Source organism: Homo sapiens, chromosome 20 (genome assembly GCF_000001405.40).
Source record: "Homo sapiens chromosome 20, GRCh38.p14 Primary Assembly".
NCBI classification, from domain to species: Eukaryota; Metazoa; Chordata; class Mammalia; order Primates; family Hominidae; genus Homo; species Homo sapiens.
Genome location: NC_000020.11, coordinates 3,782,143 through 3,808,401, shown reverse-complemented (window position 1 = coordinate 3,808,401; position 26,259 = coordinate 3,782,143). Strand labels below are relative to the sequence as shown.

The window sequence follows — 26,259 nt, the reverse complement described above, 5'->3', positions numbered from 1 at the left end:
ACAATGGAGTGGATGAAGATTCTTCCCCCTTCCCTCCAGACACTACTGTTCCCCCAACTGGCTCTCTGTGCTTACGCCAGCCTCATGTAGCTCTCTAACCATGTGAGCTGGCAGCACGTGGCTGCTCGGAACTCCTGCAGGCTGGAATTCCTGCCCCACCCTGGCCAAAGCTAAACAACTTTTAAAACTGGCTGGCAGCCTGGGATTTTAAACTGCCTTCCTGCCTGATCCACTTCCCTTTAGCACATCCAGGAAGAAAGTTATAGCTTCTCTTGCTGGGGGGAAGGGAGATGAGACACCTCTGCCCCATCCCCCTGAACTTTCCAGGGCAGAGGGGGTCCCGAGTCAGAAACTGAGAGGCAAGCCCACAGCACCCCCTTTCCCAGGCCCAGGCCCAGGCTCCTGCTTCCTCAGCAGAGATGTCAGCACCAGAGCCTTTTCTTGGGGAAGAGGTGTCTCCTGGCTTGACCAATGCCCGCATCTCTCCCACAAAATGAGCTGAATACCTGTTGGGTGGGCTTAGGAGACATTATATCTAAAAGTGTCTAGAGCATACTAATTGTCCCATGGCTGCAACTAAGACTCTGATGGTGAGTTACAATGGGGACAGATGTGGCCACGGACATCAGCACCTGGCACAAAGCCTGGGCATTGTAGACACTCAGCCCATGTTTCCTCCTCATCACGTGGCCTGATCCCGGAGTGGGAAGAGGACGCTCACAGCAGAAGTGAGGCTGCCCAGCCCCACCCGCCTGGGGGCTCTGGGACTAAGATGGGAGGTAAGGGGGGATGGGATACTCCTGGGAAGGCTGGGATAGCTGCTCTGCTTACATCTTGTGTGTGCCCTGGGGCAAGTGAGTGCCTTCTGTGAGCTTCTGAAGCTGCTTTCGTCTGTGAAACCAGGAGGGAGGGTGGCTTCACAAGACTCCCTAAGCACTTAGGGTGGAGCAGGCATGCCAGCATGATGGCGCCCGGGGCCCATCCTCTCCCCTCCTCCATCTCCCTTTCTCAGGGATCTGCACAGCTGTTTCCCCTTTTCTGGGCAAATCCTCTCACCAAATAAACATTTGCCTTTCTATCGCTGCCTGCTAGGTGGAGGGGACTTCTGAACCCTTGAGGTCCCTTCCCTCCCTGAGCACAGCCCAGCCCCAAGACCAAAACCACACCCCAATAACTCCCACCTATTGTGCCCTTGCAGAGGGCTCTGAACCAGGAGTGAAGACCAAGCTCTTGGGCATAAGAAACTTGAGAGAACAAGCTAGAGATAGCACAAGTGTCCTTTAGACTCAGCATGGGGATCTGGAGTCCCCTTTTTCTGTTCTGATAGGAAATAGCCTCCATTTTCCCATCTGAAAAACGGGGTGGATAATCATTGCATCACCTACTTCACAACATAGATGAACTGTCCCAGAAAGTGGTAATCATGCCTGACATGTGTGTGCACTCTGTGTCAAAGACAGCATCTTATATATACAGATATAAAGGAGTCCCTCCCATCGCACAGCTCCCATTTGTGTGTGGGGGGCTGGGGGGAGGGTCACCTGCAGTGGTATTCAGGGAGGATTTCCTCAGAGATCTGGGTTTGGCCTGGGCTCCCAGATTGGCCCTTTCCCAATTTCTTGAGGGAATGAGGCTGGCGAGGGCCCAAATCTCAAAAGGCCATGCCAGGAGTTTTTCTTTTTTTTTTGAGACGGAATCTCATTCTGTTGCCCAGGCTGGAGTGCAGTGGCGCAATATCAGCTCACTGCAACCTCTGCCTCCCAGATTCAAGAAATTCTTCTGCCTCAGCCTCCCAGTTAGCTGGGACTACAGGTGTGTGCCACCATGCCTGGCTAATTTTTGTATTTTTAGTAGAGATGGGGTTTCACCATATTGGCCAGGCTGGTCTCGAACTCCTGACTTCGTGATCTGCCCACCTCAGCCTCCCAAAGTGCTGGGATTACAGGCGTGAGTCACTGCAGCTGGCTTTAAGTTTATCCTGAGGACAATGGGGAGCCACTGATGATCCTTGAGTGATGAGGTCACTCTTGCCTTTTGGTGCCGAGTTTAGGAAGGGCAAGCCTAGAAGTGCTTGGGAGGCCAGGTGAGGGGAAGGAGGGGTTGAATCCAAAGTCCTGGCAGGAGTGTCACCCAAGAGATGGAAGACATTGGGAGAAGAAGGGACAAGAGCATGAGGGCACCTCTCCAGCAACTCTTCCTGCCTTTGCTGACCCTGTCTCCTACCCCAATCCCGCCATTGGCGGGCTTCTGGGGTCTTGCCCAGGGCCCCACAGGACACAATGCTGGTTTCTCAACTTGCTCAGTGCTTTATTGAACCAAGGCCCTAACAGATGACTCAGCAGGGCCTTCAAGCACAGCCCTGCCCCCATCTTGAGATTCAGAATCCAGAGGGTGCTCAGTCCTTGGTTTAGCTGCTTCTGTGACATTTCCTCTTGAATAGCTCCAAACCCTAAGTGTAAATATTTTTGTCCACACAAATAGGCACACATATATTCCTGCTGCAGGCTGTCATGCTCAACAAAACGCTCCCACCTGGTTTGGGTATGCAAGGCACTGCGCATCCACGGCCATCCACGGCCATCCACCCATCCATCCAACCTTCCATCCATCCGCAACAAGACAGCAGCAAGTTCTGAGCAGTCAGGCCCCAGGGTTCACAGCAGTAGGGGCTGGGCTTCCAGCAGGCTCATGATTCAGGCCTTAACCCTTGCCCTGGGAGCCCCCAAGGATAATAACATCCCTTTCTGGGGCAACAAAACTGGGACCGAGTGGGTAACTGATATTTGACAGGGGAACCTAAACAGTCTACGGAAGTGTCCTGAGATGGGCGTAAAGTCAAACAGACCAAGCACACAGGTAACACTGAAATAGGAAAGAGTAAGAGCTTCTGTTCAGGCTGGAGGTGCTCGTATGGTGGGACAGGAAAGGGGAAAAGAGAAAGGGGCAACATGGCAGACATACCACGGTTCCTACAGAGATTAGGGGCAGCCCTGGCCCGGGAAGTACACAGGGCAGAGAGCTGACTCTCAGGCCAGGAAGGAGTTTAGCTCTGACCCATCCTCAGGGACCACGGCTCTCCCCCAGCCTCAGCTGACACACACACAAAGGAGCGTTTCAGGACACAGGAAGATGAAGGGTTAACCCTAACAAGGAAACAAGAAGCTCCTGGAGGACACAAAATACTGCCTTTAAGCTGGTATTAACCCAACTTAACTAACTCAACAGACTGGGCTCTTCCAGGGGTGGGGGGCACCAGGATATGGAAAATGATGGGATGACACAGGGGAATCTGGGCTGGGGCAGACAGGCAGGACACCCACACCATCTTTCCCATGGACAGCACCTGAGGCCTCCAGCAGGCCCTCAGCCCGGCAGGCCCATAGGGCAGCTGGCTTCAGGCCTCGAAAGGCAAGGGAGGTAGCAGGACTGGCGCAGGCCCCTCACTGGTCCTGCAGCCGGCTACAGAGCTCCCGCCGGCTCCGCTCCCCAGCCCAGCTGCGAGTCTTGAGGCGGAAGGTCTTTAGCTCATCCTTGAAGGCCTCGTGGTTCATGGGCCGGTAGTCCTGGGGTTCACAGAAGTTCTAGGGCAGGACAGGAGGGGTCAATGCAGTGGAATGGGTAAGTTTGGCAGGGACCCAACCCTCCCACCCCCCATCCCATGGCTCCAGCCTGGCCAAGCCAACCCTCACACAGAGACTGTGGCCTTCCCCACCCACGCTACCGGGTGCTGAGGGAAGAACTCCTTGTAGCCGCCTTTCAGGATATACATCTCAGGGTAGTAGAGGCTGGGGTAGTCGTTGACAGCACGGTCTCGTTCCCTGATGAAACGGCACCTGGGGCGTCATGGGCAGGGTGTGGTCAGAGTGGGGCATGCAGTGGCTTGTACATCATGGGACCTATCCCCCACGTCCCCTCCTTTGAGGGCCTTGGGGAGCCACAGAAAGCTTTAGAGCACAGGAATGTAACCACAAGAACACTTTTAGGTCACTCTGGCTACAGAAGAGGGTGGGGAGGCGGAAGGAAGGAGGTAAAATCAAGGGGATGAACTCTCCGTTTCTAGAAGGCAGTTGCACAATCTTTGTTAGAGATATCTGTGCCTGGACCAGGAAAGGAGAAGCAGGAGAGGAGACAAGTGGGCCAAATTCAAGGGATCCATTCGGGCCACTCCTGGACAAGACCTGGTGAGGATCAGTGGTGGGGAGAAGGGAGGAGGAGGACCCAAGACTGAAGCCAGTGCCCAGGCCCGGTGCCCAGGTGGAGGTGGGTGCCATATGCTGGGATGCCTGGAGAAGTTGGGAGGGCCGCAGGGATGCGACTCTGTAAGGGGCGTCTGGGTGCAGATTCCCACCACATGGGTGAGGCCAGGCTGGGGAGCCACTAGCAGTCATATGGACCAGTGGCAACCCAGGAGGAGGCAGGGGTGGGAGGACAGATGGCCAGGCAGAACAGGAATAGCGACAGAAGGAGCTCAGCCAGGGAGGCCCAGGTGCTGTGGATGCCAATGGAAGAGGTTCTAATGGAGACCTAACAGCACTGAACATGGGGAGGGTCCGTGTACTGGGGACTGACACGCGGCCCTTAGATTTCGAGAAAAGACACCGCTAGAGACTTGGAACTAAATTTTCTGAGGGTGGCAGTAATGGATGTGGGGTGGACATGAGGCTTGATAGGCAGGACAGTGAGGGAGATGGGAGGCGGGTACCATGCACAGTGAAGTGGGGCTGAGGTCAGCTCTAGGCCATCAGATGGGACAGAGGAGGACCTGGACTTGCACCCCTGGCCATCTCAATGGTGCCAGCACCTGTGAGCCTGGGCAGGGAAGGCCAGGGCAGACACTAGCTGGCTGGGCGGAGCTGGGACTCACATGCGGGGCCCACGCTCAGATGAGAATTCACAGTGGAAAATGAGGATGACTCTCTTGTCCAGGCTACAGGGCGCGATGGGGCTCTTCAGTAGGAAGCTCTCGGCGTCGCGTTCCAGGGGCAAGTTCACCGCAGTCTGTCAGAGGAGCCAGAGGTCAGGCACAGCCCCGGGTCCAGGAGTCAGGGCCCTCCCCGTGCAGTCGCTGTCCTTCTCTTAGTAGGAACCCTCCCCATGAGAGGGGGCACCCGTCCTCCACCCATTCACCCTCTTGGCAAAGCAAGGACCTAAACCAGGTGGGATCTTCAGGGCCTCTCCCCATTGCCCCATCTTACCTTGATGTGCCCGCCTTCATATTCATAGGGGTATCTGCAGTCTACAATCACAAACTTATCCACGATGTTGCTGAACTTGCCCGTCAATAGGGCCACCATCTGTAGGAGGTCATGGGGGTTGGTTCCGGCAGGTCAGGCTGGCAGCTGGCAGGTGGCCCTAGCCTGTCCCCAGGGAAGGTCAACAATGGAGCTACAGTCCCAAATCTGCCTAGAAAATGACGCAACGCTGTTTACCGTTTCTGGTGAGATGTACTTGAGGTCTTGGTGCTTTCCGTCTACTGTCTGTAGGAGGAAGGCCTGAAGGGAACGGAAGGGATGAGGGAGAGGGGAGAAAGTTAAATTGGTAAGACCAGGAGCCTCAAAGAATGAAGTTTCATTCCCAAAATCAGAGGCCACACCTGCTTTGGCCTTCAAATTCAGTTCTGGTTCCCATGGCAACTGAGAGGCACCTCTTGGGTCTGACACCCAGGGAACAACCTTCCAAGGGGAAAGAGAAATGAAAAAGGGAAGTGGAAGAGATGAACTCCACACTCTGCTCCCTACCCTCTGCCAAGCCCGAAGGTGAGGCATGAGGGGGTTCCAAGCTAGGTATGAGCTTGGAAATAAGACGGAGACTCAACAGATGCCTGGACTGACTTGAGGTGGAGTCAGGAGACAAGGAGGGCCAGAGGGAGGAGTCTATGTGAGAACAAAGGATGAAAAGATACAAAGGACAAAGAAAAGGGGGGCTCCGGGGAGAAAGGGAGGAACCCAAGCAGCCCCTGGGCTAGAGGACCCCTAGTCAGTAAGAGGTCAAGCCCCCAAGGTACCCCCTTCGCTGCTGCAGGTACCTTAGAGTAATCTCCAATCAGCTCTCGGTGGTCACTGTCCAGGAGGTTCTCGATCTCATCGTGACACAGTGATTTTGAGCGGAGGACGCGGGCTTTCTGGAAAGTGAGTCAGATGGAGGCCAGGGTCAGGGTGGGGCTGCCCCCCAGTGCTCTGGCTGGCTGGTACCCCCTTTCTCTGCCATGCCCAGGCTGCCACCTGCCCTCTGCCACAAACTTAGCCAAGGGGGTGGCTGCCCAGGTGCATGCCAAAGTGAACCCCAGGAGGAAGGCACTCACAGGTTCCTCAGCCTCCTGCTGCTCCTCAGGAGGGGTCACGCTCCGCCTCCGCTTATTCTGCACGGGCGTGTCCCTGTCCTGGGGCCGCTCCAGCCTCTTGAGGATGGGCCGGATCACGCTGCAGGGCATGGACGGAGAGCGGAAGAGCCGCTGGCACTTGCTGTACATGACGAGGTCCTGGCAGGGACAGCAGGTTAGGGATCAGGGTGCCCAGGCCCCGTCCCATCCCTCAAATCCACTGGAGAGTAGGATGGACCCCATGCCTCCAAATTCGGAGGGGGCCACCCCAGAGGCCCACCTTTTCCTCTTCCTTTTCCAAGGTCTTGACCAGTGGGGCACTAATGAGACTCTCCATGCCTGGGGGAACTGCATCATCATCCTGAGGCCAGATTAGCAAGGACAGGGTCACAACCCACAGGCATAGGCCAAACCCCTCCAGTCCCGGAATCCTCCAGCACAGCCTTCCCTGTTTCCCTGGCAAACTCCAGGTTGGGGTGAGAAGCTCCCCTACCTCCCAAACCGCCCTCCACTGTGGCACCAGCCACCTGTTCTTCTCTCATTGGCCAGAGGTTAGGCTGTGACTCAGTTACCTCAGATTCTTCTTCTGACACTGGAATGACATCATGGTCCTGCCACAAGGGCTCAGAGCTCTCTTCTTTTGGGCGAACCCAGGGATAGGAAGGTAGGGGCCTGGTGGGACAAGGCTGTTTACCTTTAAGTCACTCTCTAGGATGTCCACAAATCCATCATCTTCCTCAGTATCCCCCTCTGCAGGGGTCAGAGAGAAGCGACCTAGGGCCAGGGGGCTGAGCTCCTCCACTTCCATCTTCCGGTCAGGACTGAGACACTGTCCACATGACAGACAGACACAGACTTAGAGGTGGAGATAGTTCCCGCCCCCATCCTCCTGAGGAAAAGTTCCCAGTGCCTGGGGGTTCAGGGCCACCCTCCTCTTCTCCGAGGCTGCCTCCCCAGGCCCCTCCCAGGGATCCGCTCTCTGGATGTACCATCAGGTCGGGGGCCGAGCTGGGTCTCTGGGCAAAGGCTTCCCTGCGGCTGGCCCACTCTGCCAGAGCATGGGTGGAGCTGGGATGTGTGGGCTTCCATGGCATCTTGAAGACAAATCCATCCTGCAGCCAAGATGGGAGAGGAGGGTCCTCACATGCCAGGGAACCACCCCAGCATGCCCCCTCCTCTTCCCGGAGAGCTCCCACCCCGGCCTTCCAGAAGCGCACATTCTCCTTGTCTTCCCCAGAGCTGCTGGCAGCTCCACTGCCCGCCTCGCTCTTCCTCCGGCCGTCGGGCGCCTGGGAGTTGGTGATGTTCCGAAGCACGGGGCTGTGGCCCAGCAGCCTCACCTAGAGAGCCAGGCAGGGCGGCAGGCAGAGGAATGAAGGCTGCATTCCTCCGGCACGAGCCCAGGCCCTACCTTCTCCACCTCTCCTCCAGCTCCTCCCACTTACCTACCTACCTCTGAAACCCCATCTCCTACAGCCTGCCTGGGGACACCCAGCTGGGAGGTGATCCCTGAATGCATCCTGCTCATCTACCCCATGCCTGGCTAGCATGCCTAAGCCTCAGTCAGGCCTCGAAGACACTCACCGGCATAGACTGGAAGCGTCTGATGGCAAACTGCTCGCTACAGGAGGAAATGGGGACAGGTGAGAGCTGGGAGAGGCAGGGCAGGGACCAAGAGCATGCAGCATGCCCTTCTGGAGCCCTGTCCTAAGGGAAAGCTTGTGGTAGATGGAAGAGGCCCAGGAACACTTACTTTCGAATGATCCGGCTGGCTGCCTGGATGGCCTGTTCAAACCTAGGACAGAGAAGGGTCCCATGCAACCCATGCTCCCTCCGCACCCATCACCCACCCCAGCACCAGGCCCCCAGTCCAGGGGGGAGTAAGGGCAAAGACAAGGGCCAAGGCTCAAGGCAGTGGAAGGGGTGGGGTGGGAAGAACGCCCACCATCAGGGGGCCCAGGTATTGGGGAGGGGGAAGATAAGAGGCAGCTTGGAATTTTAAAGGCTGCCCTGAATGAAAGAAAGCCCAGAGAATGGCAGTGATAGAGACAGCTGGGGCAGGTCAGGGTCAGGGAGGCGTCACCAAGGCAACAGTCTCGCCAGCCTGCACCAGGCCTTCCACCTGTATGCAAATCACCTCAGCGGGGCCATATGGCTGCCAGGAAAGGCATCCATCCATCCTATGATAGGCCAGGGGCACCCAGCAATGTGGGTGTCTCCAGGGCCTGGACAACAGCAAGGCTAGGCTTCCTCTCCCCTGTGAGGAGCTGGCCTGGCTCCCGGTCCTCTGAGGACTGGGGCCTGCTTTAGGGCTCCCCCAGTCAGCTCCAGTCTGATACAGTAGACCCCCAGTGACAAACGTGCAGGCTCACATCCTCTCCTCCCTCCTATGGAATTTTCCAGGACCAGCCTCTGTCCCACCCCCTCCTCCTGCCTTAGAAGAGGCCAGCAGGCAAGGAATTCCAACACATGTTCCCTCTGAGGCCCCGCCCCCTCAGCCGTGTTACAGGAGACCACCTGCCACGCGGAGCTTTTGTGCATCTACGCGCGCGCGCGCACACACACACACACACACACACACACACACACACACACACAGCTTCTGAGAAACTCTGTATAACTGTCAGAGCAGGTGCAGGGCAGGGAACCACTCAGGGATAAAGTATGAGGGGGATGCCCCCCCGGGGGGCTGCTGTGCCCAGCCAACCTGGCATCAGGGATGACCAATTTCATTGGCTTGCACATGGGCCTTGGGGGTAGGGCAAGATTGCTCTGTGCTGCCACCAAAACCAACCTGCAGTCCCCCAACCCCACCCAATCCTCTCCCCATTTCCTGTTTGTGAACCAATCTGCAGCCCAACCCAGTCTGATCAAAGGCAATGGGAGGTAAGACAAGTCACTATCCTAAACCCAAAGCCACAGTCCCCAGCACAGGCCAGAGATGCCCAGCTGTCCCTACTAATGGCTGGCAGCTGCCCCGCTGCTTGGGCTTTAACAACTGGATGGGAACAGCTGTGCTCTGGAAGACACCACCCATGCCCACAGCCAAGGGGATGGTCTGTCCAGGCCAGAGCCCACCAACTCTCTCTCCATTCCCTTGCAGAAAGGGCCTAGACCAGGGCTGGCCAGAGGGTAAAGTGTCATCGAAGTCAGAGGTTGCTGATCGGCCAAGAGCCAAATCAATCTGCAGGCAACTGTGTTTTGTTTGGCCTAGAGTGAGTTAAAGTTTTGAATTAGTTGGATCATATTTTTAAATTGTAATATTTCACAGAAAAAAATGGGTATAGGCAAGAAAGAAAAACGGGACATACGCTGGGCTTGTATTCCTGCAAGACATGGGCTGTAGTCTAGTATCTGCTCTCCCAGTGGCCACTGTCCCCACTATCCCTGGCCCTGAGCCCACACTCGGTTGGCTCCCATGAGAGCAGATCCTTCTCTGAGACAGGGAGCAGAATGCCAAGGCCTGAGAAAGTCAGTGAGCCCCCCGGCCATGGGGATCCTGAAGCCACCCCATGGTCTGTCTGCTTTCCCAGGCCTCCCGGGTGAATTTATGGTAGAACTAGGATTCTTAAAGACAGGTGCTGAATGCTTGGAAGTACACATTCCCTTCTCTACTCACGTCTGCTCCGCCATGTGGGGGTCCATAGGGCTGGGGGAATCCATGCAGAGACCTGAGGGGACAGAGCACCTTGGTTTGAAAGTAGTGGCACTTTCTGTATTCTTTCCCCCACCATGTCCCAATATGAAAAAAAAAAAAAAAAAAAAAACAGTTTCTAGTTTGGACTTTGACACATTAGAAAATGAAACAAAAACCCAACCATGGACCCTGAGAGCTGACACATCGTCCCCCAGACGGTACAGGGCTCCACTCCCTGTTTACTATGGAAATTCCTTCATATGCGTCTTTAAACCACAATGCTCACTAAGCATTTTTCTTGAACTGGTTTAAAATAATTTGTTCTAGAAGAGACAACAGATTTTTAAAGAAGAGGTTATAGGCTAAGAATGTTTTAAAGACCAACTCTCAGCCCTGGGTGCTTCCCAGGTAGGGTTGTGGTTTAGGAACTCTGGAGCGTGGTTTTACATAGGTAAGATCTCATCTCCGTAGAGGGCCCCACCCTCTCATCCACTCAGCCAGTCCGCGTTGGGTGTGGTGAGCCCCACAAGAGGTGTGTCTTCCTCCCATTTCTGTGGAGGGTGGGGGAGAGGCTCCTGGGCCCACCAGGTTGTGGGGAGGATGTTAGTTTGATCGGCAGGGAAATTGGGAGGCCCAGGCAGCCCCCACAAACTCTCCTGACACAGGCAGATCTCCCCAGGCTCCCCTGGGCCTCACCTGCATCAGAAGATTCGGAGGATTCAGACGACAGGGAGGATTCGGATGCCCGTCGAGACAGGGATAGGTGCGTCAGGCGGCTGCGGCTGCGGAAGAGCAGGGTCCCTACCTGACTCTTTGGGGTTTCGCTGGGAAGGGAACAGGGACCCGGGAAAGGAGAAAGGTAAACGTGGGGCTCAAGGCCTGGCTAGCCCACGTTCCCACTCCCTTGCTGAGAAAAGAACTGAGCGAAACACTACACCGGGAAAGCAATGGCCCTGAGGGCCCCCTCTTCTCAGGTCAAGGAAGGTTCATTCTACAGAGGCCCTAAAGCGTCTTCTCTTCGTTGACTGGTTTAGGAAAGGTCCTCTCAGGAGCAGGGCAAGGTGAGCCCAGGGTGTGAGCAAGGCTGCCTGGCTGGAGGCCAGCCTAAGGGTTGGTGGTCTAGCAGAGCCGCCCCAGAGAGCCTTCCCCTAAACTGTCAGACCCCCACCTTTCCAGGACCCTTCCTGAAGGATGGACCAAGACCAGGTTCTCCTACTGGAACAACCCAGCTCTCCCCTTGCAGACTTAGGGAGCAGGATCAGTGTTTAATTAATTGTCTTAATTCTGGGGGCAGAACTGGGGTGGAGGGAGCAGGGGCATGGATGTGTGAGTGCTCCACGGCTCTGCCACCCTTAAGTTCCCTCTCCAGGCTTGAGATTCCCATCCTGGGGCAAAATGGTGGCTATCCGGGCAGAGATTACGGAGGCAGCGTGGTGGAGGCACAATGAGGGAGGAGGGAGTGAGGGGAAAGAAGATTTGGAGAGGCTTGTGCAGACTGAGAGCAGGTCACCTGGAGGTGTGGGGGGCACAGCCCAGGTCTCACTTCCCATGTCCTGGGCCCCTAGGAGGGAACAAGGGCGTACCTCTCCACTGCTCAGGATGCCTCCCCGGACTCCACCTCCTGGATTCGACTACCATGCCCAGTTCTCCAGGAGGCCCAGGACTCCAGACCTAGCCTCTCACCCCCATATGCAGCCTCCTTGGGGTGTCCTACCTGCCGAGCCCGGCGAGGTCGTGCATGGTCTGGGTGAGGGTGGTGACCGGCGAGGAAGCGGCCGCCCGCACCGGGGACCCCAGGAGGCCATGAGATCCCAGCAGGAGGCCCGGGAGGTGGCCCGGACGCTGGGCGCCACCGCACACGCCTGCTGGACTGAGAGCCGAGCCTGGCGCGGGCTCCGGCTGGGGCACCTCCATCGCGGCGGGGCCGGCAGAAGGCTGGCTGGAGGGCCGGGCGCAGGGCAGCCAACAAACGCCGGCACAGCTGGCTGGGCCGAGGGAGGCAGCGGGCGAGGGGTGGGGGGGGGGGGAAGGAGGGAGGGAGGAAGAGCCACAGGGCCAGGCGCGAGGGAGGAGAGGGATGCGGGGAGGGCGGGGGGCGAGGGACGCCGGGCTCAGGCACCAGCCAGGGAAGCCTCTAGTTGCAGCTGCCACTTCCACCTCCTTATATATTCGAAAAATAACAGCAGCCGCGCCGCCGGACGCCACCAATGGGGTAGCGGGTTAGATGAGGGCGGGACTGAGGGCGGGGCCCGCAGGGCAAGAGGCGCGGAGGCTGGATTTCCAGGCTTTGGGTGGGCCGGAGGAATTAAGATTTATCCCACACCCTCGCACATCCCCCTGGCGCGAGGATCCCGGCCTCCCAAAATCCGCCTCTCGCGACATGGTTTGGAGCTCCACACTCCCAAAGGCAGCAGCAACGCCCTAGGGTGGCCTCCGCAGGACCCCCCGCGGCATGTCGTCACCTGGGATCACCGCTAGGGATGGGGAGAGGCTCCAACTGGCTCCCGGAAGTTTGCTAAACCCAGCTGGGCTGTACGGTCTGCGTTAGACACCCCATTTTACAGACCTGGACGCTGAGGCGTGAAGTTCATTAACTCAATCAAGGTCACGCGGTTGGGCAGGCGGTGGGCCAGGATTCGCTCGCTCCAGGCGCCTCTGACCGCGCAGCCTCCCCGCCTCCGCGACTGGCTGCGCTGAGCAGCAGCAAAACGTCATTCGCAGGAGAAGCGCCCAGCGTAGGAGGTGGGAGGGCAGTGGGGCCCCCAAGCGGAACTGATGGGCTCTTTCGCGGGACCCCAGGTTAGATGTTACCCCAACCGGCCCAATTTTCGCGGCAGCCCCAGGAGAGGCTCTAAACGGTGGAACTAGGAATGGATTTCCGCGGCTGGGGGTCGAGGAGGGTGTCAGCAACCAGAGAGGCGAATTAAGTATCACGCCCATTGATGATTTGGCTAACTTGGTGCCAATGGCACCATATTATTTAATTGGTGTTTCTTTGATGACCAGACCAGGGAGGCTGAATTTGTCATTCGTTTTAAGCGGAGCAGCTTCCAATTATCTTTCTTTTTGTTTTGTTTTGTTTTTTTTGGGATGGAGTCTCCCTCTGTCAACCCGGCTGGAGTGCAGTGGCCATCTCTGCTCACTACAACCTCCGCCACCCGGGTTCCAGCGATTCTTCTGCCTCAGCCTCCCGAGTAGCTGAGACTACAGGAGCGCGCCACCACGCCCAGCTAATGTTTGTATTTTTAGTAGAGACGGGGGTTTCACCATATTGGCCAGGCTGGTCTCGAACTCCTGACCTCGTGATCCACCCACCTAGGCCTCCCAAAGTGCTGGGATTACACGCACGAGCCACTGTGCCCGGCCCATCTTCCAATTATCTAAATGCCTTCCAGCCCCGCTCGTTTTCCAGGCCTCCTGGAACAAGAGGCCTGAAGGCTGCACCCAAAAGCCGGTGGGTAGTGAGCAGCTTTCGCATCCTGTCTCCCCAGGTTAGAAGTGGCCTCTGGCTGGGCGGGTGGTGGTGCGGGGGGCGGGCTGCAGCTCAGCAAGGCAGGAGTACCCCTTCTCGTGCAGTCCCAGCCACCCAGACCCAAGGTGCATTGGATGGGGGTGGCAAAAGGGAGGGCCTGGTGATGGGGGGCTGGGTGGGCCAATGCATCTGAAGGGTAGGGGAAGACCCCAGCCCCACCTGAGAGGGGTGGCCAAGGTGGGAACGTGACCTTTCCTTTTCTCCAAATTTTGCCCAGCTCCTGTGCTGTGCAGAGGGCTCTGCAAGACTGAATTTCCGGTTCATCCTCCCTGGGTCAGGGGTTATGCCCTGGACCTCCAGCCACTACTTCCAGTGAGGATGTGACTGCCCTTAGTGCCAGGAGGGAAGGGGGAAGTGTCCTTGTAAAGCCACCCAGCCCAAAAACCAGAAAAAAAAAACTGCCCCGAGATTTGCATTTTCAAAATAAACACAACAGGTATCCCCCCCACCCCCCACCCAGCCAATATACATCTGCACAGGGTGTATGTGGCAGGGCAGGCATTATACTATTGAATCCCTTGAAATCCCACAGTCAAAAAACACATGAAAAAATGCTCATCATCACTGGCCATCAGAGAAATGCAAATCAAAACCACAATGAGATACCATCTCACACCAGTTAGAATGGCAATCATTAAAAAGTCAGGAAACAACAGGTGCTGGAGAGGATGTGGAGAAATAGGAACACTTTTACACCGCTGGTGGGACTGTAAACTAGTTCAACCCTTGTGGAAGTCAGTGTGGCGATTCCTCAGGGATCTAGAACTAGAAATACCATTTGACCCAGCCATCCCATTACTGGGTATATACCCAAAGGATTATAAATCATGCTGCTATAAAGACACATGCACATGTATGTTTATTGCGGCACTATTCACAATAGCAAAGACTTGGAACCAACCCAAATGTCCAACAATGATAGACTGGATTAAGAAAATGTGGCACATATACACCATGGAATACTATGCAGCCATAAAAAATGATGAGTTCATGTCCTTTGTAGGGACATGGATGAAATTGGAAATAATCATTCTCAGTAAACTATCGCAAGAACAAAAAACCAAACACCGCATATTCTACTCATAGGTGGGAATTGAACAATGAGAACACATGGACACAGGAAGGGGAACATCACACTCTGGGGACTGTTGTGGGGTGGGGGGAGGGGGGAGGGATAGCATTAGGAGATATACCTAATGCTAAATGACGAGTTAATGGGTGTAGCACACCAGCATGGCACATGTATACATATGTAACTAACCTGCACATTGTGCACATGTACCCTAAAACTTAAAGTATAATAATAATAAAATAAAAAAATAAAATAAAATAAAATAAAATTCTCTAAAACCAAAAAAAAAAAAACAGAAATCCCACAGTCAGGTCACCTCTGGGCCAGTGAGGGGGGAGGTGGGCAAGACCACAGAGGGGTTCTGGGTTTTTTTGTTTGTTTGTTTGAGATGGAGTCTCGCCCTGTCGCCCAGGCTGGAGTGCAGTGGCATGATCTCGGCTCACTGCAACCTCTGCCTCCTGGGTTCAAGCGATTTTCCTGCCTCAGCCTCTCGAGTACCTGGGATTACAGGTGCCCGCCACCATTCCTGGCCAATTTTGTATTTTCAGTAGAGACAGGGTTTTGCCATATTGGCCAGGCTGGTCTCGAACTCCTGACCTCAGGTGATCCACCCACCTCGGCCTCCCAAAGTGCTAGGATTACAGGCGTGAGCCACTGCGCCTGGCCCACATACATAATTTAAAATATTCTAGTAGCCACATTTAAAACAGTAAAAAAGAAACATGAAATTACTGTAATATTTTATTCAATGTAATGTATTCAAAATATTATTCGACATGTTATCAATATAAATTAATGAGATATTTTACATTTTTGGATATCAAGTCTTCAAACTAGTATGCATTTTACACCCCCAGCACATCTCAATTTGTACTTGCAACATTTAAAGGGCTCAATAGTGCTGGCACTGTGGCTCACACCTATAATCCCAGCAACTCCAGAGCCTGCTGCAGGACAATTGCCTGAGGCTAGTAATTCAAGACCAGCCTGGGCAATATGGTGAAACCTTGTCTCTACAAAACATTTTTTAAAAACTTAGCCCGGTGTGGTGGCCCCTGCCTATAATCCAAGTGACTCGCTGGGCACGGTGGCTCACACCTGTAATCCCAGCACTTTGGGAGGCCGAGGCAGGTGGATCACAAGGTCAGGAGTTTGAGACCAGCCTGGCCGACATGGTGAAAACCTGTCTCTACTAAAAATACATACATTAGTTTGGCCTGGTGGCACCGACCTGAAATCCCAGCTACTCGGGAGGCTGAGGCAGGAGAATCGCTTGAACCTGGGAGGCGGAGGTTGCAGTGAGCCTAGATCATGCCATTGCACTCCAGCCTGGGCGAAAAGAGCAAGACTCCGTCTCAAAAACAGACAAACAAACAAAAAATCCAAGTGACTCTGGAGGCTGAGGTAGGAGGATAGCTTGAGCCCAGGAGTTTGAGTCTGCAGTGAGCCATAATTCCACCACTGCACTCCAGCCTGGGCAACAGAGTGAGACTTTGATTCTAAACATAAAATAAATAAATTAATAGTTCAATGGCCACTTAGGGTTAGTGGCTGCAGGTCTATATCTTTACAAGCGTAAATCCGTCTGTATTTTAAAGAATATACAAACAGCATATGAACATTGTTCTAGGCTGGCATGCTGGCTCACACCTGTAATCCCAGTACTTTGGGAGGCCAAGGTAGGTGGATCACCTGAAGTCAGGAGTTCAAGATCAGCCTGGGCAACATGGTGAAACCCTGTCTCTACTAAAAATACAAAAATTAGCCAGGCATGGTGGCATGTGCCTGTAATCCCAGCTACTTGGGAGTCTGAGGCAGGAGAATCACCTGAATCCAGGAGGCGGAGGTTGCAGTGAGCCAAGATCGTGCCACTGCACTCCAGCCTGGGTGACAAAGTGAGATTCTGTCTCAAAAATAAATAAATAAATAAAAATAAAAACCACTGTTCTATACCTTTCTTCTTCTTACTTGGAGATGGATCCATATTAGTACCATAACAATATATATTTACTCAAGCCCCTAATGCTGAACATTTAGGATATTAGCTTTTACAACGATGCAGTAAGTATGCCCTTATGTGTCTGTGTGCTATCTACAAGATGAATTCCTAGGGAGGAACTGATGGGAGGCACAGCATTTAGTTTGTTTTCTGTTTTTGTTTTGAGTCCAAGTCTCTCCGTCACCCAGGCTGGAGGGCAGTGTTAAATCTCGGCTCACTGCAACATCTGTCTCCTGAGTTCAAGCAATCCTCCCACCTCAGCCTCCCAAGTAGCTGTGACTACAGGCGCATCCCACTATGCTTGGCACATTTTTGTATTTTTTGGAGAGACTGGGTTTTGTCATGTTCCCCAGGCTGGTCTTGAACTCCTGGGCTTAAGCGATCCACCAGCCTCAGTCTCCAAAAGTGCTGGGATTACAGGCATGAGCCACCACACCCAGTAGCATTAAGTATTGAAATCTCCTTTTCCCTTTCTTGAATCTCATCTCAAGCTGACTGGACTATTGAAGGACAAGGACTAAATCATTTACCTCTCTCCCAGGCTCCCAGAACCTTGCTCCCAGAACTTTGGTTCAAGACCAAAGTTGGCCCCTGACCCTAATATCCCACTTCTCAGCATTTCTCTTAAGGAGATGATAAAAGTACACACAGATGTATGTTCGTTGAGTTATTGTCTTCAATAGGGGAGGTGATTCCTTTGCACTGTGCAATACATGCAACCTTTAAGGAGAACGGGCAGTCAGGTGGGGATGCCTGCTTGGTAGGGGCTCATTATTGAAAGACTACATGTTGAGATCATAGCAAATGGACTTCTGAACAAGTTTCCTAGAGTAAAAGAAGTGTGGGTGGTGGCTCATGCCTATAATCCCAGCACTTTGGGAGGCTAAGGAGGAAGACTCGCTTGAGCTCAGGAGTTCGAGACCAGCCTGGGCAACATGGTGAAACTCTGTCTCTACAAAAAATACAAAAATTAGGCCAGGTGCGGTGGCTCACGCCTGTAATCCCAGCACTTTGGGAGGCCCAGGCAGGTGGATCACCTGAGGTCAGGAGTTTGAGACCAGCCTGGCCAATATGGTGAAACCCTGTCTCTACTAAAAATACAAAAATTAGCCAGGTATAGTAGTTGGCGCCTATAATCCTAGCTACTTGGGAGGCTGAGCAGGAGAAATGACTGAACCTACGAGGCAGAGGTTGCAGTGAGCTGACATTGCACCATTGCACTCTAGCCTGGGTGACCTCGTGATCCACCCGCCTCGGCCTCCCAAAATGCTGGGATTACAGGCGTGAGCCACCGTGCCCAGCCCGAGATGTTAACTTTTAAGCAAATCTTTTTTTTTTTTTTTTGAGACAGAGTTTCTTGAACCTGGGAGGCGGAGGTTGAAGTTGAAGTGAGCCGAGATTGAGCCACTGCACTCCAGCCTGGGCGACAGAGTGAGACTTGGTCTCAAAAAAAAAAAAAAAAAAAATTCCAAAATGGACTGTGGTGACAGTTGAGCACATCTGTGAACTGTACACTTTAAATGGGTGAATTGTATGCTTCTTGAAATATATCTTAATAAAACCTTTTTTTTTTTTGAGACAGAGTCTCACTCTGTCACCCAGGTTAGAGTACAGTGCCGTAATCTCGGCTCACTGCAATCTCTGCCTTTTCTTTCCTTCCTTCTTTCCTTCTTTCTTTTTCCTCCTTTCTTTCAAAACAAAGTTTGTTACCCAAGCTGTAATGCAGTGGTGCAATCATAGTTCATTGCAGCCTCATGCTCCTGGGCTCAGGTGATCCTCCGGCCCACCCCAGCCTCCCTAGGAGCTAGGACTACAGGCGCAAGGCACTATGCCTAGCTAATTTTTTTTTTTTTTGAGACAGAGTCTTGCTCTGTCGCCCAGGCTGGAGTGCAGTGGCGCGATCTCCGCTCACTGCAAGCTCCACCTCCCGGGTTCACGCCACTCTCCTGCCTCAGCCTCCTGAGTAGCTCGGACTACAGGCGCCCGCCACCATGCCCGGCTAATTTTTTGTATTTTTAATAGAGACGGGGTTCCACCGTGTTAGCCAGGATGATCTCGATCTCCTGACCTCGTAATCTGCCCACCTCGGCCTCCCAAAGTGCTGGGATTACAGGCATGAGCCACCGCGCCCAATGTTGTTCTCTTTATTTTTATTATTTATTATTATTTTTTGGCCGGGTGAGGTGGCTCACGGCTGCAATCCTAGTACTTTGGGAGGCCAAGGTAGGCAGATCACTTGAGGTCAGGAGTTTGAGACTAGCCTGGCCAACATGGTGAAACCCTGTCTGTACTAAAAATACAAAACTAAGCCAGGTATGGTGGTGTACACCTGTGATCCCAGCTACTCAGGAGGCTGAAGCAGGAGAATTGCTTGAACCAGGGAGGAGGAGGTTGCAGTGAGCTGAGATCACGCCACTGCACTCCCAGCCTGGGCAACACAGTGAGACTCCGTCTCAAAAAAAAAAATTAAAAATTAGCCAGGCATGGTGCCTCATGCCTGTAGTCCTAGCTACTGAGGAGACTGAGGCTGCAATGAACTATGATCGTGCAACTGTACTCCGTCCTGGGTGACAGAGCTAGACCCTGTCTCAAATAAACAAAAGGAGAATGGAAAGCTTGCTGAGGGGCCTGAAGGACAGCTCTGGGCAGGCTGGACCAAAAGAAGAGAAGGTGAGTTATGGATTTCCCAAACAGTCCTAAAAGCAGAAAGCTGGGACTTACAGAAAGAGGTGGGGAAGCCCGGGGCCTCAGATGGATTGCTGGGGGAAATGGTCACTTGAGAGGGGATGGAAATGGGCCCCGTGCACTGCTACAGGCAAAGGGTAGACGAGGTATCTGGAAATGGCTATGACATCAGCATATGATGGGCGTGGCTTTTCTGTCCTAGAAGTAATTGTGCCAATGCCCTTTGTATGGCACTAAGGAGGGGCCACAGGAAAGGAAAGGAAAGGAAGAGAAAGGAAGGAAGGAAAGAAAGAAGGAAAGGAAGGAAAAGAGAGAAAGAGAAAGAAAGAAGGGAAGGAAGGAAGGAAAGAAAGAAGGAAAGGAAGGAAAAGAGAGAAAGAGAAAGAAAGAAGGGAAGGAAGGAAGGAAAGAAACAAGGAAAAGGATGAAAGAGAGGAAAGAAAGAAAAGATGCATGGCAAGGAGTTCTCATCCAGGTAATCTTAGATTCATTTTTGCCCAGTGACCACACACTCCTCTTGGGCCAAGCAGTGCTCTGGAAAAGTCTCCCACGTGTTCTTTTGGACCTTGAGATTAAAAGAATATCTTTTATATCTCAGGGATAGGGAAGTCCTCTCTAAGTAAGACACAAAACCCCGAAGCAATAAGGAAAAAATTGACAGGTTGAAGATTAAAAACTTCTCATATCCAAAAGATTCCCTAAACTAACTTAGACAAGTGGCAGACAGGGAGAAAACATTTGCAACATACTTAACAAGATCTTTTCTTCAGAGCATGTAAAGAGCTCCTAAAAGTCAAGAAAAAGACAAACACATGGTCAAAGGATATGACTAGAAAATTCACAGGATTCAAATGGCCAAGAAACATACGAAAACAGAAATTTGCACTAAAACAGCAGTGAGTTACACTTTCTTCCTTTGGCTTCCAGAATGCCACAGTAGCCTGGTTTTTCTCCTGCTTCAGGGGCTCCTCCACTTCAAGAGTCTCTATTTGGTTCTTTCTTTCTTTCTTTCTTTTTTTTTGAGATGGAGTCTCACTCTTTTGCCCAGGCTGGAGTGCAGTGGCATGATCTTGGCTCCCTGCAACCTCTGCCTCCCAGGCTCAAGCGATTCTCCTGCCTCAGCCTCCCGAATAGCTGGGACTACAGGTGAGTGCCACCACACTTGGCTAATTTTTTGTATTTTTAGTAGAGACGGAGTTTCACTATATTGGCCAGGCTGGTCTTGAACTCCTGATCTCAAGTGGTCCCGCCTGCTTCGGCCTCCTAAAGTGCTGGGATTACAGACGTGAGCCACTGCACCTGGCCTCTTTCTTGAGCCCTTAACCTTGGAGGACCCAGGGCACTGTCCTTGGTCCTCTTTTCTTCTTTGTCTACACTCACCCACAGCTTCATCCAGCCCCAGGTCCTCAGCCTGTCCCCCTGGGTCACAGCCTTCCCCTCTGCCAATGCTGGAGTTCCCCTTAGTGCTGCCCTAAGAGATTTTTAAAAACACAGCTATACATTCATTGTTTTAAGAGCTTGGCATTTTAATGTTTTGCTGCAGGAGAGGGAGGCTTCAGGGATTCACACTTATGTATATACATGATGTTATTTCTGTAAGTGCAAACACATACATTTATGGCTATATGCATGGAAAAGCCCAGAAAGTGACACACCAAGATGTTATGAGTGTTTATCTATGGGTTGTGGGATTACTAGAACTTTAAAAATGTCATTAGCACCATCAAATAGATTTACAACTGTAATGCTGATTTTAAAAATAACTTAAGTGTGTAACAATAGGTTACATACGCTAGTGTTCATTCATAGCTGGAATGCTACACAATCATTAAAAAGCGTGTTGGCAATGATACTTACCGATATGGCAAAATTCTCACTACTTGATGCCAGGTAAAACAGCAGGAGATGCCAGATATACAGTCTATACAGTCTGATGCCAGTTTTATATAATAAATTTTTAAAAAGAAAACGACATGCATCTAGAGAAAAGACTGGAAGGAAATGTATCAAAATGTTACCTGTGCATCTCTCCAGGTGACGTGAAAAGCGTTTTTCAACTTCTTGAATTTTTCAGGTTCCGCAAAAAAAAAAGTGCGTTATTTTTACCTTAATTAAAAAAAAAAAAAACAAACAAAAACCCTGGTTCTTATTCTTTTTGAGCAGCAAGTCGCTGTCCGCCGGGCGCAGTAGCGATGCACCGCGTCCCCGCCCGCGTCGCTGCCGGGTCGCCGGAGGCCGCAGCACGGGCAGGTCCAGCAGGCCGCAGCGCCCCCCCGCGGTATGTCCCGGCGGCGGGAAGGGGGTGGGCGCGGAGGGCGGGGAGGAGGCGCCGGGCGTCCCCGCGCTTCCCGCGAGATCCCGCTCCGCCCGCTCCGCCCCGCTCGCCGCGCTCCCAGCTCCCCGCGCCGCGGCACTTCCTGCCTTCCGCGCCCGCGCCGCCCGCCCTCGTCTGCGCCCGTCGCCTGCCGCCCGCCGCCCGGCGACGCGCCCGCCGGCGTCCCCGGAGGTGCCCCCGGCCCGGCCGGGTCGTCGCCCCGCCGCCGCGCCCGCGAGCCGCTTTGTCTCGGGCGGGGCGCGCGGGAGAGGCCGCCAGGTGCCCCCCGCCACGGGCCCGGGCCCCCCGCCCCGGGGCGGCGGCGGCGGCGCCGGGCCCCGGGGCGGGGGGCGCGCCGGGATGGGCCCCAAGAGGCGACAGCTGACGTTCCGGGAGAAGTCACGGATCATCCAGGAGGTGGAGGAGAATCCGGACCTGCGCAAGGGCGAGATCGCGCGGCGCTTCAACATCCCGCCGTCCACGCTGAGCACGATCCTGAAGAACAAGCGCGCCATCCTGGCGTCGGAGCGCAAGTACGGGGTGGCCTCCACCTGCCGCAAGACCAACAAGCTGTCTCCCTACGACAAGCTCGAGGGCTTGCTCATCGCCTGGTTCCAGCAGATCCGCGCCGCCGGCCTGCCGGTCAAGGGCATCATCCTCAAGGAGAAGGCGCTGCGCATAGCCGAGGAGCTGGGCATGGACGACTTCACCGCCTCCAACGGCTGGCTGGACCGCTTCCGCCGGCGCCACGGCGTGGTGTCCTGCAGCGGCGTGGCCCGCGCCCGCGCGCGAAACGCTGCCCCCCGCACCCCGGCGGCGCCTGCCAGTCCGGCCGCGGTGCCCTCGGAGGGCAGTGGCGGGAGCACTACTGGTTGGCGCGCTCGGGAGGAGCAGCCGCCGTCGGTGGCCGAGGGCTACGCCTCGCAGGACGTGTTCAGCGCCACCGAGACCAGTCTATGGTACGACTTCCTGCCCGACCAGGCCGCGGGGCTGTGCGGAGGCGACGGACGGCCGCGTCAAGCCACCCAGCGCCTGAGCGTCCTGCTATGCGCCAATGCCGACGGCAGCGAGAAGCTGCCCCCGCTGGTGGCCGGCAAGTCGGCCAAGCCCCGCGCAGGCCAAGCCGGCCTGCCCTGCGACTACACCGCCAACTCCAAGGGTGGTGTCACCACCCAGGCCCTGGCCAAGTACTTGAAGGCCTTGGACACCCGAATGGCTGCAGAGTCTCGCCGGGTCCTGCTGTTGGCCGGCCGCTTGGCTGCCCAGTCCTTGGACACCTCGGGCCTGCGGCATGTGCAGCTGGCCTTCTTCCCTCCCGGCACCGTGCATCCGCTGGAGAGGGGAGTGGTCCAGCAGGTGAAGGGCCACTACCGCCAGGCCATGCTGCTCAAGGCCATGGCCGCGCTAGAGGGCCAGGATCCCTCAGGCCTGCAGCTGGGTCTCACGGAGGCCCTGCACTTTGTGGCTGCCGCCTGGCAGGCAGTGGAGCCTTCGGACATAGCCGCCTGCTTTCGTGAGGCTGGCTTTGGGGGTGGCCCTAATGCCACCATCACCACTTCCCTCAAGAGTGAGGGAGAGGAAGAGGAGGAGGAGGAGGAAGAAGAGGAGGAGGAAGAGGGTGAAGGAGAGGAAGAGGAGGAGGAAGGGGAGGAGGAGGAGGAGGAAGGGGGGGAAGGAGAGGAATTGGGGGAGGAAGAGGAGGTGGAGGAGGAGGGTGATGTTGATAGTGATGAAGAAGAGGAGGAAGATGAGGAGAGCTCCTCGGAGGGCTTGGAGGCTGAGGACTGGGCCCAGGGAGTAGTGGAGGCCGGTGGCAGCTTCGGGGCTTATGGTGCCCAGGAGGAAGCCCAGTGCCCTACTCTGCATTTCCTGGAAGGTGGGGAGGACTCTGATTCAGACAGTGAGGAAGAGGACGATGAGGAAGAGGATGATGAAGATGAAGACGACGATGATGATGAGGAGGATGGTGATGAGGTGCCTGTACCCAGCTTTGGGGAGGCCATGGCTTACTTTGCCATGGTCAAGAGGTACCTGACCTCCTTCCCCATTGATGACCGCGTGCAGAGCCACATCCTCCACTTGGAACACGATCTGGTTCATGTGACCAGGAAGAACCACGCCAGGCAGGCGGGAGTTCGAGGTCTTGGACATCAAAGCTGAGTCACTGGACCTAGCTGTGCCCCCAACCTAGATTGGCAGCACCACCCCAGGGCAGAGGACTCTCTGGGCACCCGCTGTGCATGGAGCCAGAGTGCAGAGCCCCAGATCCTTTAGTAATGCTTCCCCTGGTCCTGCAACAGGCCCGGTCACCTCGGCCGGGCCCGGGGCTGAGGTCAGCCTCACTGCCTGCTTATTGCCTCTTTCTCAGAATCCTCTTTCCTCCCCATTTGGCCCTGGGCTCAGGGGACCAGGTGGGGCGGGTGGGGAGCTGTCCGGTGCTACCACACCGTGCCCTCAGTGGACTAACCACAGCAGCAGCCAGGGATGGGCCCTGGAGGTTCCCGGCCGGAGAGTGCCTCTCCCCTCTGCCATCCACGTCAGGTCTTTGGTGGGGGGACCCCAAAGCCATTCTGGGAAGGGCTCCAGAAGAAGGTCCAGCCTAGGCCCCCTGCAAGGCTGGCAGCCCCCACCCCCACCCCCCAGGCCGCCTTGAGAAGCACAGTTTAACTCACTGCGGGCTCCTGAGCCTGCTTCTGCCTGCTTTCCACCTCCCCAGTCCCTTTCTCTGGCCCTGTCCATGTGACTTTGGCCCTTGGTTTTCTTTCCAGATTGGAGGTTTCCAAGAGGCCCCCCACCGTGGAAGTAACCAAGGGCGCTTCCTTGTGGGCAGCTGCAGGCCCCATGCCTCTCCTCCCTCTCTGGCAGGGCCCCATCCTGGGCAGAGGGGCCTGGGGCTGGGCCCAGAGTCCAGCCGTCCAGCTGCTCCTTTCCCAGTTTGATTTCAATAAATCTGTCCACTCCCCTTTTGTGGGGGTGAACGTTTTAACAGCCAAGGGTGCATCCTTCATGGTCTGGGCTTGCGTCTGTCTTGGGGGACTTATTCGTCCTGGCTCTCTTTGGTCCTTGCTCTGGTGGGACATGGAGGCAAGTGTTGAGAGGGTTGCCCTGACCGGAAGAGGGGCAGGAGGAGACCTCAAGCTTGGGGTCACTTGGCTGGGGCAGGAGGGAGCCATCAGTCTCTGGGGGCAAATCAATATGCACGTGGGGACTAGGCCTACCGAGGCTGGTTTGAAGGCCTTTGCAGGAGTGGGGTCAGGACAGAAAGAAAGGAGTGTTGGGGCAGCTTCTGGGGTCCAGATTGGAGTTTGGAGGGGCATATAGGTCACCCTTTGGTTTACCTTTGGTGCCTTAAGAGGGAGCCCTTTAGGCCTTTCAGTGATTGGCATATCCAAGCCTGGTGGCCACCTCTAGGCACAGTGGCAGGAGGAAGGTGAAATTGCTAGGAACAGGTTGCACCCCCAAGAGGCAGAGGATGGTTGGTAACTCCCTGTGCAGTGCCTTCCAGGGGGCCCCCAGTACAAAGGTGAGGTCAGGTCCCTTTGCTGATCCTACCCTTTTTCCTTTCAGAGCCAGCCCCTCCCTCCCTACCCCTCCTCACTGAGGCCCTCAGGCCCCAGCAGTTCCAACCAAGGGAGGGCCTGGGCTTGAGCATGGCTGGCAGCTCTGGGCCCCAAACCGGTTTTCCCACCTCACCTGAGGCTGGCACATCACTTCTGTGTTTCCTTCCCATCCCCGGCCCACCTTTACCACCAAGTTTCTCCTCTCCAACACTGGGAATGTTAATGGGGGAGTATCCAGTTCATCTCTTGTCCCTGGCCTGCCCTGGTTATGGCCCCTTATGGAAAATCAAGACCACTATATATGACTTTAAAACAAGAAATGGGGGTGACTTCCACTCTTGGCCTCTACTTCTGGCATTCAGGAATCCCCTCCAGGCCTTGAGGGCTTTGAAGTGACAACAAAAAGTAGTTGGGATCCCCCTTGCCACCACCTTCCCTCCCGAAATCCGAGCCCTGGAGTTGGAGACCAGAAGGCCACAAGGAAGCCCCACCTGCTCTCGAGTGAGCAGGAGGAGCATTGCCTGCTTGCCCAGGTGCTCCTGTTTAACCCAGCTACCTCACCGCAGGTTCCAACAAGACGAATTACTTCCATTTGTCTCCTGCGAAAAAGAACAGTTCTTGCTGGAACTGAGACTGTCTCATTAATGATAGTACCAGCTGATACTAATAGGGCCCCTGCTCTGTGCTAAATGCTTTAGATGCTCACAAAGCCCCTATAAGGTAGGTAAAGCCATGAGAAACCAGGCAGCGGTCCGGTCAGGTGCCCAAGGCCATGCCGTTAGTCAAACTCTCTTCTCATCCTGACTCTAGAAGTACCTCTTCACTAAGGAGGGACCCATATTCCTAACCCCCTTATGGGTACTGCAATGAATTTGTTTCTTTCTTTTCTTTTCTTTCTTTTTTTTTTTTTTTTGAGATGGAGTCCCGCTCTGTCGCCTAGGCTGGAGTGCAATAGCATGATCTTGGCTCACCAACCTTTGACTCCCGGGTTCAAGCGATTCTCTTGCCTCAGCCTCCTCAGTGGCTGGGATTACAGGCATCCACCACCACACATGGCTAACTTTTTTTTGTATTTTCAGTAGAGACGGGGCGAAAGCCATGTTGGCCAGGCTGGTCTCGAACTCCTGACCTCAGGTGATCT

General features: G+C 54.6%; 2 protein-coding genes across 13 annotated transcripts, besides 16 other annotated features; one reads left to right on the top strand and one right to left on the bottom strand.

The window, feature by feature from the left end:
- Positions 68-658: an enhancer, noted in NCBI's record as "NANOG-H3K27ac-H3K4me1 hESC enhancer chr20:3788391-3788981 (GRCh37/hg19 assembly coordinates)". NCBI's record gives its function as "activates a minimal SCP1, AML or CMV promoter by ChIP-STARR-seq in primed H9 embryonic stem cells {active_cell/tissue: H9 hESC(primed)}" and the evidence as "EXISTENCE:reporter gene assay evidence [ECO:0000049][PMID:30033119]".
- Positions 659-1,250: an enhancer, noted in NCBI's record as "NANOG-H3K27ac-H3K4me1 hESC enhancer chr20:3787799-3788390 (GRCh37/hg19 assembly coordinates)". NCBI's record gives its function as "activates a minimal SCP1, AML or CMV promoter by ChIP-STARR-seq in naive H9 embryonic stem cells {active_cell/tissue: H9 hESC(naive)}" and the evidence as "EXISTENCE:reporter gene assay evidence [ECO:0000049][PMID:30033119]".
- On the bottom strand, positions 2,287-21,451 carry CDC25B (cell division cycle 25B). 12 transcript variants are annotated; one of them, NR_136336.2, is made up of 17 exons: positions 21,263-21,451; positions 10,653-10,780; positions 9,939-9,990; positions 8,073-8,114; positions 7,904-7,940; positions 7,537-7,659; positions 7,309-7,431; positions 7,014-7,148; positions 6,600-6,680; positions 6,302-6,478; positions 6,026-6,121; positions 5,594-5,672; positions 5,430-5,492; positions 5,196-5,294; positions 4,865-4,998; positions 3,722-3,833; positions 2,287-3,581 (listed from the first exon to the last, which is right to left on the bottom strand). NR_136336.2 is itself a non-coding variant. In NM_001287516.2 (16 exons), exons 1-16 carry the CDS (start codon positions 21,268-21,270, stop codon positions 3,441-3,443), a joined length of 1,551 nt encoding a protein of 516 aa, NP_001274445.1. In that variant the 5' UTR covers positions 21,271-21,451; the 3' UTR covers positions 2,287-3,440. The 12 variants fall into 12 exon arrangements, 10 of the variants coding, with proteins under 10 accessions (NP_001274445.1, NP_001274446.1, NP_001274449.1 ...); NR_136335.2 differs by lacking the exon at positions 21,263-21,451 and adding an exon at positions 12,523-12,613; NM_001287516.2 differs by lacking the exon at positions 5,594-5,672.
- Positions 5,366-6,565: an enhancer, noted in NCBI's record as "P300/CBP strongly-dependent group 1 enhancer chr20:3782484-3783683 (GRCh37/hg19 assembly coordinates)". NCBI's record gives its function as "activates an origin of replication core promoter dependent on BRD2, BRD4, P300/CBP, MED14 and CDK7 cofactors, with strong dependence on P300/CBP, by STARR-seq in HCT116 cells {active_cell/tissue: HCT116}" and the evidence as "EXISTENCE:reporter gene assay evidence [ECO:0000049][PMID:35650434]".
- Positions 7,606-7,900: a silencer, noted in NCBI's record as "tiled region #8683; K562 Repressive non-DNase unmatched - State 18:Pol2". NCBI's record gives its function as "represses a minimal TATA promoter and a strong SV40 promoter by Sharpr-MPRA in K562 cells {active_cell/tissue: K562}" and the evidence as "EXISTENCE:reporter gene assay evidence [ECO:0000049][PMID:27701403]".
- Positions 8,646-8,940: an enhancer, noted in NCBI's record as "tiled region #3723; HepG2 Activating DNase matched - State 14:Gen5', and K562 Activating non-DNase unmatched - State 18:Pol2". NCBI's record gives its function as "activates a minimal TATA promoter and a strong SV40 promoter by Sharpr-MPRA in HepG2 cells, with weaker activity in K562 cells {active_cell/tissue: HepG2 | K562}" and the evidence as "EXISTENCE:reporter gene assay evidence [ECO:0000049][PMID:27701403]".
- Positions 11,501-11,708: a silencer, noted in NCBI's record as "fragment chr20:3777341-3777548 (GRCh37/hg19 assembly coordinates)". NCBI's record gives its function as "represses an EF-1alpha promoter that drives an FKBP-Casp9 reporter gene in an ReSE screen in K562 erythroleukemia cells {active_cell/tissue: K562}" and the evidence as "EXISTENCE:reporter gene assay evidence [ECO:0000049][PMID:32094911]".
- Positions 11,775-11,954: a silencer, noted in NCBI's record as "silent region_12630". NCBI's record gives its function as "represses an Ori minimal core promoter by ATAC-STARR-seq in GM12878 lymphoblastoid cells {active_cell/tissue: GM12878}" and the evidence as "EXISTENCE:reporter gene assay evidence [ECO:0000049][PMID:35858748]".
- Positions 11,995-12,064: a silencer, noted in NCBI's record as "silent region_12629". NCBI's record gives its function as "represses an Ori minimal core promoter by ATAC-STARR-seq in GM12878 lymphoblastoid cells {active_cell/tissue: GM12878}" and the evidence as "EXISTENCE:reporter gene assay evidence [ECO:0000049][PMID:35858748]".
- Positions 12,295-12,454: an enhancer, noted in NCBI's record as "active region_17485". NCBI's record gives its function as "activates an Ori minimal core promoter by ATAC-STARR-seq in GM12878 lymphoblastoid cells {active_cell/tissue: GM12878}" and the evidence as "EXISTENCE:reporter gene assay evidence [ECO:0000049][PMID:35858748]".
- Positions 12,295-13,096: a biological region, named in NCBI's record as "H3K27ac-H3K4me1 hESC enhancer GRCh37_chr20:3775953-3776684".
- Positions 12,365-13,096: an enhancer, noted in NCBI's record as "H3K27ac-H3K4me1 hESC enhancer chr20:3775953-3776684 (GRCh37/hg19 assembly coordinates)". NCBI's record gives its function as "activates a minimal SCP1, AML or CMV promoter by ChIP-STARR-seq in primed H9 embryonic stem cells {active_cell/tissue: H9 hESC(primed)}" and the evidence as "EXISTENCE:reporter gene assay evidence [ECO:0000049][PMID:30033119]".
- Positions 21,361-21,710: a silencer, noted in NCBI's record as "silent region_12628". NCBI's record gives its function as "represses an Ori minimal core promoter by ATAC-STARR-seq in GM12878 lymphoblastoid cells {active_cell/tissue: GM12878}" and the evidence as "EXISTENCE:reporter gene assay evidence [ECO:0000049][PMID:35858748]".
- Positions 21,361-22,290: a biological region, named in NCBI's record as "H3K27ac-H3K4me1 hESC enhancer GRCh37_chr20:3766794-3767503".
- Positions 21,546-22,255: an enhancer, noted in NCBI's record as "H3K27ac-H3K4me1 hESC enhancer chr20:3766794-3767503 (GRCh37/hg19 assembly coordinates)". NCBI's record gives its function as "activates a minimal SCP1, AML or CMV promoter by ChIP-STARR-seq in naive and primed H9 embryonic stem cells {active_cell/tissue: H9 hESC(naive and primed)}" and the evidence as "EXISTENCE:reporter gene assay evidence [ECO:0000049][PMID:30033119]".
- CENPB (centromere protein B) lies at positions 21,662-24,551 on the top strand. The gene has a single exon (NM_001810.6). It carries the CDS (start codon positions 21,919-21,921, stop codon positions 23,716-23,718), a length of 1,800 nt encoding a protein of 599 aa, NP_001801.1. The 5' UTR covers positions 21,662-21,918; the 3' UTR covers positions 23,719-24,551.
- Positions 22,151-22,290: an enhancer, noted in NCBI's record as "active region_17484". NCBI's record gives its function as "activates an Ori minimal core promoter by ATAC-STARR-seq in GM12878 lymphoblastoid cells {active_cell/tissue: GM12878}" and the evidence as "EXISTENCE:reporter gene assay evidence [ECO:0000049][PMID:35858748]".
- Positions 22,256-22,966: an enhancer, noted in NCBI's record as "H3K27ac-H3K4me1 hESC enhancer chr20:3766083-3766793 (GRCh37/hg19 assembly coordinates)". NCBI's record gives its function as "activates a minimal SCP1, AML or CMV promoter by ChIP-STARR-seq in naive and primed H9 embryonic stem cells {active_cell/tissue: H9 hESC(naive and primed)}" and the evidence as "EXISTENCE:reporter gene assay evidence [ECO:0000049][PMID:30033119]".